Source organism: Homo sapiens, chromosome X (assembly GCF_000001405.40).
Source record: "Homo sapiens chromosome X, GRCh38.p14 Primary Assembly".
Classification (NCBI taxonomy): domain Eukaryota; kingdom Metazoa; phylum Chordata; class Mammalia; order Primates; family Hominidae; genus Homo; species Homo sapiens.
In genome coordinates this window covers 55,904,868-55,917,290 of record NC_000023.11, presented here as the reverse complement: position 1 = coordinate 55,917,290, position 12,423 = coordinate 55,904,868, and the positions used below count along the sequence as shown (strand labels likewise).

General features: G+C 40.6%; 1 protein-coding gene across 2 annotated transcripts in view, besides 2 other annotated features; it reads right to left on the bottom strand.

The window, feature by feature from the left end:
- KLF8 (KLF transcription factor 8) overlaps positions 1–9,168 on the bottom strand; it is a 383,409-nt gene extending 374,241 nt beyond the window's left edge. The window contains exon 1 of one of the 2 annotated variants that reach the window (NM_001324105.1): positions 8,491–9,168. The gene's annotated coding sequence lies outside the window, so the exon portion shown is untranslated. The remainder of the gene's footprint in view (positions 1–8,490) is intronic. The other variant, NM_001324104.1, reaches the window with a different exon arrangement.
- Positions 7,949–8,008: an enhancer, noted in NCBI's record as "active region_29684". NCBI's record gives its function as "activates an Ori minimal core promoter by ATAC-STARR-seq in GM12878 lymphoblastoid cells {active_cell/tissue: GM12878}" and the evidence as "EXISTENCE:reporter gene assay evidence [ECO:0000049][PMID:35858748]".
- Positions 8,069–8,138: an enhancer, noted in NCBI's record as "active region_29683". NCBI's record gives its function as "activates an Ori minimal core promoter by ATAC-STARR-seq in GM12878 lymphoblastoid cells {active_cell/tissue: GM12878}" and the evidence as "EXISTENCE:reporter gene assay evidence [ECO:0000049][PMID:35858748]".

Below are 12,423 nucleotides of genomic sequence, written 5' to 3'. Positions count from 1 at the left end.
CAATGTTTGCCTAGATTCCAAATGCTCCAAGTGAAATTACTCTTCCTAGGAAGTTGCTTCATTTTGGCTCTGGGTTCTTCCCATTTCACTTTGAAAAATGTAGACTCTCACTCTGGAAATAAGCAACTCTTAGCTTGAGGAAGTCAGAACAATTCTATTCTATTTATAAAAAGCAAAGCAGATTCCAGAGGAGGCAGCAAGACTTGAGCAGGGAGATTGGATTCCTTTGGAAAAAATCTATCCCAAGATCTTGAAAGTGGATAGTTTCAGCCAGATCAGCTTACTTTGGCATTTTGGAGGGTAGAAGAAGCTTCTCTCTCAACATTGTCTAAGGTTAGCAATCTCTGGAAGCCAACCTCTGACAACAGCTCTAAGGAAACTTTGCTGAGAGCAAAACTTCAAATATCAACTGCTACTTCAGTAAGGAGTGTCAGGAAGGGAACTTTAAAGTCACTGAAAAAAAATCATTGATACAAGAAGTATCCAAAGCCTTAGCAGGGAAGCATAAACCTTGGAAAGTTCCTGGGAGTAAGGGGACCCACAAACGGGAAACACAGTTAGTTAATCACTGTCACTATGTGTAGTTCTAAAGCCCAGGCATTACATTTATAAATGCAACTCTTGCTAATTCTCTAGGCCTGGGCACATTGGTATCAGCTGCTCTCCCCATGACTTCCCTCTTTTCCATCCATGCCTGTTACCCTTTGAGAATGCACTCACCAGCCTTTAGATCATTATGATGATTAATAAGATAAATTTAAGCCACTGAAGGAAGCCCTTTGGACTTCAAAGTGCAAAAAGAAAATTGGAGAAGGCTATTATGGCAATTTTGGCCTCAAATTGCTTTATACAGTAGTAGGAATAGATTCACTACAGGAAAGGACTAGGCCACTGGGAGCACAGTCAACCCTACATATTCTCAAAATAGCAGGACGTAGCCTGGCAAGCATATCAAGTAGGCCAGGGCTACGGGCAGTGAAACTTCCAAGAGAACACAAGAAGTTACTACAAAGTGGGTAGGGCCAAAATAATATTTCGTACAGGGGACACATTTGGAAATATCTGCTCTGTACATAGTGACCACCTTATAACTCCTCTTTGATTAGCAAAGGTGTTCCAATAGCTTATATTACATGACCCTAGCTTCCTGATCAGAGCTGGTTTATCTAGGTATAAGTAGCTGGCTCAAGCCTGGTCAATCGGTGAGTGTCCACTTCCTTGTGATTTGGGAATTGGAACAAACAGAACCAGTACCTGTTCATGTGACTGAACTGTAACTTATAAACTCGAGAGATGAGGGAGCTATCTCTTGCTCACTAGGTAATATAATTTGCTAAGAGAGAAGAAATAAGCAGATATGCCAAGGGAAGCATATATAAGACATAGAAAGAAAATCACCTTAGGTTGCTGACAACTTCCCATTTCCAAAACCCAGTCCACTCCTAAGATCCAGTCACATTGCTCTTGTGTTTAAGCTAGCTTCAGCTGGTTTACACCCTTTGCAACCAAAGGATATTAATGAATAAATAACATGTATAAAGGGGAAGCTGCTGCTTCAGCTTGTGTTAAGTGTCACCATGAGGCAGTATAGGCCCAGTGATGCCACACATTTCAAGTTTTTCAAGAAAACTGTGAGCTTATTTTATGTGAAATCATCTGCCTTTTACACACTGGCAATTAATTCAAATTTTGAAAAGAACATGGCTCAAGGCAAGTACATCTGTGGCCTGAATGTGACTTGTGAACCCTTGAGTTGTGACCTCGGTCAGCAAAATCTGTCTTACATGTTACTTCTTAGATCTTTCATCTATTTTTATCTTTTTCATATGTACCCATTTGTACATTGCATTACACTGCTTAACAGGACCCACAGTTACTGACTCACTTTGATTCTATTTCCTTTTTTGGTCTTACTGACTAGTTAGTTCAATATTTCATAATGATTAAAAATGTAGATTGTATAGCCAAACTATCTGCGTTCAAATTCAAATTCTACAAATTATTAGCAGAGTATTCCCAGTTTCTTTACAGCTATTGTCAGAGGTTTGGGGTACTGGAGTTTCCCCATTTATCAAATGGATATAGTAAATTCAATGCTTAGAGTAGTACTTGGTACATTTATTGCTGTATTATTAAAATTATTATTATTGCTTTGACTACTCTGACTAGTAATCATTTCTACCAGTCCAGACTCCCACAAAGTACCAGTCTCATCCCTTCTCCCTGATCAACAATGATTTTTGAGTCCTAAGGTTTCTGTCTACCTTCTGGTCCCAGTAATTTTTCTGGTCTTCATTGACTGACCCTCAGTGAAAAAAATCCCTCTAATTTCTGTGTACAGTACTGAAAGCAGCTGTTTATGCAATCTCTAATGTTTTGAATAGTAAAGAATAGCTTTCGGGTATAGTGTTCCTCATATCGTGCTTATAAAAAATAAGAGACTCTTATTTATGGTTGATTCCTGGGTTGTGCCTACTTTTCCAGTCTTTTTTCCTGCCACCAACTTATGTGTCAGCCATAATGAAACACTATTTCCTGAACATAGCATATCTCTGGTGTCTCCATTGATTTATACATAATGTTCCTTCCATCTGCCATGCTCCTTCTTTCTCAACTTGTGTATGTTGAAAACTCCTATTTATCCTTCAAGACTCAAATATCATCTCCTCTAGCAAGTCTTCTCTGACCGTCTAACCCCACAAATCACCCACATTTTACTTGCTCATATTAATAACTTTCTCACTTGGCAAGTTTGCCAAAACTCCTCTCCTGAAGTTGACTCAACTTTCCTCTAACCCTCAGTGTCCTTATCTAAAAAGTGAGCATAACTATTGTGAATTTTCTTAGTATGGTCCATGGCATATATTAAGTAATCAAGAAATGTTAGATGTTAGCTAGAGTTTTGTCTGTCTCCCAGCTGAGCTCCAGGGCAAGACTGAGGTCTCAGATTTTTGTATACCCAGGCTGTAGCACAGAGCTGACTACATAGAGGGTTCTCATGGCATATATATTGAACAAATAAATGGGATGAATAACTGAATGCTGCTTCCCCATTTCAAAAGCCATCTGCCTTACATAAGTGGAAATGGTTAATATATATGACCAGATTTAATTAAACCAAAGCTGCAGATCATATTTGAGTTATTATTCTTGTAAAAATGTACTCTGAACCCCTTTCCATGTTCTCTGTCCATTACATATGTATCATGCCATCACTGACCAGTAAAATGTTCCCAGCTCAGAGAGTTATTCCTAAGTTCAGCTTTCTAAGGAACAAAATATAGGCCATTTTAGCATTAGGAGGCATTAGCTAGATAATATTCTTTGAAACTTAGCTATTTCCCTGAAACACTAGGAGAAAGAATTTTAACCTTGCTGTTTTTCCAGCCACTGCTTTTACCCCATATGTATTACCACCACAAGAAAAAGTTCTCTTAAACTCACCCTTTCTCTAACCCTACCCTGTTCTTCTCCAACCCACATTATGTTAATGCCCATTACTTGCCTCTGGTAATAAGATTCTTCCTGCCTGGAATAACCTTTCCCCTCTACTCTGTATTCATTTCCGAGGGCTGCTATGACGAAGTGTCACCAACTGGTTCGTTTAAACGATGGAAATTTATTGTCCCACAGTTCTGGAGGCTAGAAGTATGAAATCAAGGTGTCAGCAGGGTTGGTTCCTTCTGAGGGCTGTGAAGGAAGAATCTGTTCTAGGCCTCTCCTTGGGTTGCAGATGGTTGTATTCTCCATGTCTCTTCACATCATATTCCCAATGTGTGAGTCTGTCTTTGTATCCAAATTTCCCTGTTTTATAAGGACACCAGTCATATTGAATTGGGGCCCACTTAATTTAATAAAGTTAAAATGATCTCATAAAAAAATAAAATGAGATCATTTTAAATTTTTACCTCTATAAAGACCCTGTCTCCAAATAGTCACATTCTGAAAAACTAGGAATTAAGACTCCAACATATATTGGGGAACACAATTCAACCCATAGCAAAGGACATACAGATTGGAGGCAGAGAGAACAATAAAGGAGCTATTATAATAAACTAGGTCAGATATAACAGCCTTGAATGTAGTAGAGAGGCAAGAAGGCTGAAGATCTAAAGAGAGAGCACTGAACATGACAGATCATTAAGTAACTTTGGCAAGAACAGTTTCAGTGATGGTTTAAATGGAAACTGCACAAAATAAATGGGAGTGGTAATTTAAATGAGTTCAAAGAAAGATTTAGAGAAGGGAAAAAATGTGCTTGTAAGCTTAAGATTAGGTAGTATGGCATAATAGTCAGGCACAGACTTCATACACTTGGGTTCAAATCTCAGCTCTGCCGCTTACTAGCTGTGTAAGCTTAGGCAAGTTGCTTGATTTTGCTGTGCCCCAAGTTCCTTAACTGAACAATGAGGAAAATAATAGTATCTACTTAATAGGACTGCTGTGAACATTATATACATTGATATCTGTAACATGCTCAATAGAGGGGCCTGATACAAAGGAGGTCTTCAATATATGTTAGCAATGTTAGGTGGATAGGGCTGAATGAGTGGGAAAATCAACGAATAAGAAGAAATTTAAGAAAATAAGAGAGAAGGAACCTAACTGATGAAACAACTTAGAAAGTACAGGAGACGATGGATCTCTTACACTTACTAGCTGTATGATCTTGGATAAGGTACTTTCTTTCCTGTGCCTCAGTTTTCTCAATTATAAAATGGCAATGATAATAGTGTCTACCTCACAAGATTATTGTGAGGATGAAGTGAAGTGATGCATGAAACTTGAGTGCTGAAATTAAAGGAAATAATGCATATAATTTAAAAAGCCATATACTCTAAAACAGTGATTGTAAATTCTGCAGTAGGGAATGGGAATGGGGATTCTGATATGGGATGGGAACAGGCATATTCCTTCTCCACCTTTCACAAACAGGGCACAGTGAGCCTCTGTTACTAATAGGAGTGTGTTATATTCCTTAGGTGTATTGGGAATGAAAAAAAATGAGAACCTCTAACCTCTAAGGTAGTCCTCAAACTTCAGTGTGTATCCAGGTCACCCAGATGGTGTATGAAAAAAGTACTGATTGTTTTATCACAATCAGTATGAGTTTCTGAATCAGTATGTCTGGGGTAGGGCCTGAAAATCTGCATTTCTAAGAGGTTCCCTGGTGATGCTGATGCTGCTGGTCCAAGCACCATACTAAGACAACCTCAACTCTAAGCAAGTGGTTCTCAACCTTTACTGCACATTAGAATTACCTAGGGAGCTCTTTTAAAAATCCATCTTCCAAGCTGTGCCCCAACCAATTACATCAGTATCTCTGAGGATGGACAAAGTTATCAGTATTTTTAAAATATCCTCAACTGATTCCAGTGTGTGGCCAAGGTTAAGAATTGTTTTAGGGGAAGCCTACACTAATCCACAAGTCTCCCTTTACACACACATCTAACATGCACACCTACCTTATCTCTAAAAGGGAGTCACAAGGACAAGTGGAAATTTCAAGGCCAGAAATGAATGGAACTTTCAATGTATGGAACAGAGGGGTTAAAACTTTGTATTTGTGTGACTTGTTCTTGTTCTTAGTGCACTGTCCTGTTTGGACTTCCTTGGCTTTTTTCTTCTTTCTCTCAATTCCCTTCCTCGCACTCTTCTCTCCTTCTGAGTTCCCTGAGGCTAATGAGGTGTTTTATACTTAAAGCTCCCACTGGGAAGGACTTGGGGGAAGCACAGTGCACAACTTAAAAGGAATCATGTGTGCCAGCAGGATGGAAAGTTTAAAAAAAGGTTTCCAAGCAAATAATTTTCACAATTTCTTGACAAAGAGTGCTACAAAATCTTGTAATATTTCCTTAAAGCAGATGAGACTTTTTCTAGTGCTAATAAATTTATTGTAATATATTTTGTTGAAGTACATTGAAGAGACTTTTTGTATTTAAGTATAGTTGACCCTTGAAAAACACAGGTTTGAACTGCAGGTCCACTTATACATGGATTTTCTTCCACCTCTCCCACTCCTGAAAAAGCAAGACCACACCCTGCTCTTCTTCCTTCTCAATCTACTAAACATGAAGATGGCAAGAATTAAGACCTTTATGATAATCCACTTTCACTTAATGAATAGTAGATATATTTTCTCTTGCTTACGATTTTCTAAACGTTTTCTTTTTTCTATCTTACTTTATTATAAGACCACAGTATATAATATGTATAACTTACAAAATGTATATTAATTAACTGTTTATATTATCAGTAAGGCTTCTGGTCAATTGTAGGCTACTAGTAGATAAGTTTTGGGGAATCAGAAGTTATATATGGATTTTCAACTGTGTGGGGTCAGCATCTCTAACCTCTGTGCTGTCAACAGTAGTTTCAAGTGCATTTGAAACCTTCTTCAGATATTTATTTTATAAAACAATGGTTGGTATGAAATTAAATTGTATTAATTGACATGAACAAGTTAGCAATAAGTTTACTAAGTTTTTCTTAAAGGAGCATTAGATTCCAAACATAAAAATACAATCCATCTTGATTGTATAAGATAAATAATTCAAGATTCATTCTCTTTAATGCAATAGAATTTCAAATAGAATGATTGTTACTTCTTTTTTTACAAGTGACTTCCTGTCTCATTCAGAATAAAAGTCAAAGTCTTTACAAGTTCCCATATGATCTAGCCCCCTCTATCTCACTGACCTTATATCCCGCACTCTTCCTCTTGTCCACTCCAGTGATACTGACCTTCTTACTATTCTTTGAACATACCATGCCTTTGCACTTGCTACTTCCTCTGTCTAGAACACCTTTCCCTCAGGTATTCTCACGGCTGGCTCCCTCACTTCATTCAGATATATTCTTTAAAATCACCCCAATTCCACATGCCCTGTAGCTTTTCTCCTATCTTATCCCCACTCAACGTATATGTTCATTGTTTTTTGTTAGTCCCCTCCACCAACACCTCCTCATTAGAATATAATCTCCAAGAAGGCATATTTTCCCCAGAGTCTTGTGTGGTGATGATACAGAGTAGATTCTCAGTATGTAATTGTCAAATGAATGAACGAATGAATGAATGAATATAATAACACAATGTAATTTTGTGTCAATACCTTGCTCTGTCACAGTTCCCTACCCTGGACCGCTGAGTAAGAACTAGGAAGGGACTCAAAACAAAGGAAATTGCAGAGCACCGGGAACTGTGGCATTCCATTGACCAAACAAAAACCTACAGAGTGAAATATGAACCCTAAAACCTCAAACATATTTTCATCTCTTCGACCTGTGGAGTATCATTAGGCTCTATCCACAGTCCTGCCACCCTCCCTGTGCAGAAACATAAGAGAGACAAATATGTAAGAGATGTCACTGGTCCATAAGAGACCCTTTCTAACAAGTTTCTGCCACACCAGCTCTTCTTTAACAGTGGAAGGGAGATGGTGAAGCCCTCTTTCCCAAAACAATCTCCCTTACTGGACATGGATAACGCCAAAGTGGCATTAGCTTTCCTACTGAAGTTTCCTGCTCTTTCCTCTCTGCATGCCATTTTGATTTGAGTTCCTATTTCTTCTAGCTGGAATTCCCAGTCACTTGGCTTTGAGCATATGGACACCTGGTACTGAACAGAAGACAATAAAAGTGAACCATTGAGCCATTCATGTAAGAAATGTTTGGTAAATGTTGGAATCAAATTCAACATTTGTCTCCATATCCTGGGAAGGCTACTAATCAGTTAAAAAGGGAGTCATTGACAACACTCTGCATGGCCTTGACATTTTACACAAACCTCCCAGCAGTGTGATCAGCCACAGGCAATGCACCTGGCATTCAATAAAATTTGTAGAATGAATTTGTTCAAGATACCTGCACTGCCATGGCGCCTTTCAGGAAATGGAAATTTTCCCTTTGAGCTAAAACAGCAGTCAACTGGCTGCAGTTAACTAATGTGTAACTTGGCAACATTGCCCACGGTGCACCTCCTAAGAACCACACGGATATTAGAACCAAGTATGGAAGCTGGTCTGAGTAAGAAAAAGCTGTCCTCGCCACACAAATTCCTTCCAACATAGAGGTACTGCCACCCTTCTCATAATTGAATTTCCAGTTAAATAGTGCACTGTCCCTTTAAGAAGCCAGGCAAGATGGAGCCCTCCTAGCTCACAGCTAGAGGCTTCAGGCAACCTGATAGGGTTGCTGCAGGGTGATAAAAAGAAAGAATGCCAGGAGGGAGGAAGTCGAGGCTCTAATACCTGGAGGAGAAATCAAGGATCCAACCACACAGCCATCGAACTGAGCGCGCCTGTCCCGCCCGTGGTAGCTCCCCTAGGCTCTAAAGCACCACCTCCCTTCCCCTCCCCTTCTTACCAACCCCACTCTGCTCCACCCTGAAAGGTTTTCCTTGAAAGAGGCTATTTCGCCGCCCAGAGAGGGTGATAAAAGGAAGGTGGAGTGGGAGGTGGCAGTTGGTAAGGCAAAATAAAAGGAACTTACTTTCGGATTCTGCGCCTCCGAAGGCATCCTCTCCTCCCAGCCCCGGGGCCTGGGCCGACGGGGCGGGGCCGGGATTGAGCTCTTGGACCCGGGGTCCTCACTCCCTCGGACTACACACGTAGTTGAGTGAAGAGTTAGGGGGAATGGGCACCGACTAGGGCCGGTGTACAGTCTATTTTAATTATCTCAAGGGAAGGCAGAAGAGTGTAAAGAGTGTTAGCCAGGGGAAGGAGTGGAGGTGAACTCTAAAACCTTCCTTTTCCCTACTTTCTCGTTAGCTTACCTCCCCCGGCATTAGCAATATCAAGAGCAATGGTTTTCTTTTTTCTTCCTTTTGGTATCTCTCAGCTGCCAGTCTCGACCCCACCCAGCGGCTCCACCCCATCTACTACTACACCATTCTGTCAATCACCAGCCCCTTTAAAGCTGCATCGCACAACTTGGTTGTTCGTCCCACTTAGGCTGGCGGACATAATCTTGGTCCTTCCGACCTTTTCAACAATACCCCGGACCTTTCTGCTGGATTTATGAAGCTGAGGTTGTTTGCTAGTGGCGGCCTCCCCGCCCCCTTTGTCCTGGAGCTTGAATACTGGGCTGCACCCAAACTTCTTCCGGCAGGGGGCAGGCCCCGCCACACCCCACCGCATCTCTTTTCATTACTTTGTTTCCGGTAAAACTGGTTCCCTAGGCTGCCAGATCCCTAAGAAAGTTTCTGCGACGCCCCCTTGGCGCCGCCCACGCCCATGCAGTCTTTGGACTGAAGTGGCTACAACAGCTCTAGAGTTTCTGGGGACTCTTCCTTCTGCCTATCCTGGGATGCTCAGTCTTCTCTGTCTCTCATCTGTGTGAGTCTGCATGTTTTTTGACTAGAATGGGGAAGGGGAAGGGAGAGAGGGTGGTGATTCCCAGAAATGTGCCTTATGCCTCTAATTCACCCAAACAGCAGTCCCTTACTACCGCCCCACCTCATAACTAGGCAGCTCAAAGTCAGAGAAGGGCCCTGAGGTTCCATCCCACAGGTATAACTGGAACTCCAGAATGACCCATGAGAAATCATGTTTAATGCCATCCCCCCCTTCAGTTAATGACAATACCTGGTTGCTTAGGCCAAAAATCTTGGAGCCATCCCTGATTCTTCTCTCACAAGTCTCATCCAATTATTGAGGAAATCCCGTTAGCTTTGTCCTAAAAGTGTGTTCAGCATCTGACCATTTCTCACCCTTTCCACTACTACTACCCTGACCCTGATCCTGACCATCACCATCTCCCAAATGGATGGCTAGAAGAGTGTCCTCACTGGTGACCCTTCTTCCACATCTGCCCTGCTAAAATCTGTTCAACAGCCAGCAAACAAATAGTCTTTCTAAAAGGCAAATCTGACCAGGTCGCACCTCTGTTTAAAACCTTTCAGTCATTTCCCATTGCAGTTAGCATCCAGATTGTCTTATATTATCAACAAGGCCCTCAAGATCCACCTGTCCCCTGCCTGTCTCTTTGACTTGATTTGTAAACACCTTGTTCACACTGCTGTAGCTATGCTGACCTCCTTTTCATTGCAATATATTAAGATCTCTCTCACCTCAAGGCCTTTGCATTCCTTTTCCTTCTGTCTGATTATGCCCATGGTGGGCTCCAATATCCTACACATCTCAGGAAAGCGTTCCCTTACCATGTGGATTAAGGTAACTCCCACAATCCAGGCACTCTCTATGACCTCATCTCATTTTATTTTTATCACAGCACAGATCACAATTTAATCTGTGTGTTTGTTTCTGTGACAAAGTAAGTCTCCCACTAGAGTATAAGCTCAGTAAGAGCAGGGACATCATCTATTTTGCTCATTGCTCTATCCACAGCATACTGAACAGTGGGTGTCATATAGTAGGGACTCAATAAAAATTTGTTGAAAGAACAATTAAAGGCAATATCATCAGGGATTTATCTGGGTGATATCTGTTTGTAAACAATAAACAAATCAAAACAGAAAACAAGAAAGAAATACACACCTGATATGAACTACTTCCCCTATTTATTCTTCCTTAGAACATCTGCTTGAATATCTTGCCTCTGGGCTGAGTTGGCAACATGATTGGAGCAGTGACATAGTAGAAGTGTGCTTTCAGGTTAGCTTTTAGGGTTGGCAGTGGATAGCTGATGGTTGACTTGTGTTCTTAATTTAAAGATGAAGGGAAGAATAAAATTAAGAGCATTGGTTACATAAAGCAAGAAGGGTGGTTTAAGCAATTTTGTAAACTATGACCTTGATACAGGGTCATAAGAAGCAGCCATTTTCCTTCACCACTAGAAGAGTATAGGGCTATTTAGTCTCAACAAGAGAAAACTTAGGAGGACAACAATCTTTTTTTCAGGGTTGTCTTGAGCTGTCATTAACATGTCATTGGTTGCTTATACCCACTGTGTCCTAACCTTAACTATCTGCCTGTTCATAGAGGTTACTCAGCCCAAATCTCTGGACCTCTAGCCATGAATGCCAGGCAGCTTTTACTAGGCTGCTACTTATACGTGAGCATAATATTATAGGGAGTTTTGACAGATACCATGGTTATATTCTCAGCACAATGCTAAGCACTGTGGACCATAGGCAAAGAAAGGACTCTTTCAATAAATTTCCCCTTTCTCTAACTTTTGTGTGTGTGTTTTTTGGGGTTTTTTTTTTTTTTTTTTTTTTTTTTTTTGAGATGGAGTCTCATTCTCTCGCCCAGGCTGGAGTGCAGTGGGGCAATCTTGGCTCACTGCAAGCTCTGCCTCCTGGGTTCACGCCATTCTCCTGCCTCAGCCTCCAGAGAAGCTGGGACTACAGGCGCCCGCCACCATGCCTGGCTAATTTATTTTATTTTATTTTATTTTGTTGTGCTTTAAGTTTTAGAGAACTTTTACACTATTTCTGAGAATCAAGGCAGGGTTATTTGTAAGGATGATGCAGAGGGGCTTAGTATTTGGCATCAGGCAAGCTAAGACTGGGTTGAAATTGAGACAACCCTGAAAATTGTGGAAATTGCTATACAATACAGGTTACAAACCAACAGTCCATAAGTTAAATTTGGCCAGCAGATAAATTTTGTTTGTCTGCAATGTATATGTATATGTGTGTGTGCATGTGTGCCTGTGCAGGTGTTGACTGAATAAATTATCAACATTGAAAAATGTAGGGATATATGAAAATCTGTGTTTTCATCCTTAAGCCTATTTTCCAGAGTGCTGTCAATCTGTCGGAAATCAGCAGTGCCTGGCCCCTCTAGAAGTGCCATGATCTCGTCAGCTTATTACAGCCCTCACCTGAACATTTCACTTATTTTTGTTACCAGTTTGGCCTGTGTATGCATTTTAGTTTGCAACCCTTGCTAAAGAAGAAATGATTAAGAGTTCATGGCAAGAGTACATAGTTAAATAGAGTATTTATCCTCTGGTTAAGGCAACACTTGAAAGCTCTTGATTATCCCTAAATGTCTAAGAGTGGTTTTCCAAGTATCTTACAAAATGGTTTTGGCTTCAGGATTATACACCCATTTTGAGGTCATATTTAATATGTAGTCTGGATTGCATTTACAGAAAACACCTCATCCACTCATGCTATATTTTTTTGTTACCTCCCCAACTAGAATGTAATTCCCTGAGGATGGGGACAGAAGTCACATCTAATTCGGTTAGGTTCAAGAAATAAATTATTGCACACTATTACATAGAAAAAGCTGCTAGGTTCCAAGCACATGACGTTAGATGGCTCATTTCTTCCCCTTAAGGAGCTTCTAGTCTGAAATTTTCCTGTGGATTCCATCTCCTGGGGTGACTTCAGACTTCCTGGGAATACCCATTTACTCTTAAATACATTCCAACCTGCCTTCTTTCTTCATGACTTCATGAATGAAATGGCTCTTTTGAAGGTCTCCAGTTACCTCCATGTTGCTAAATCAA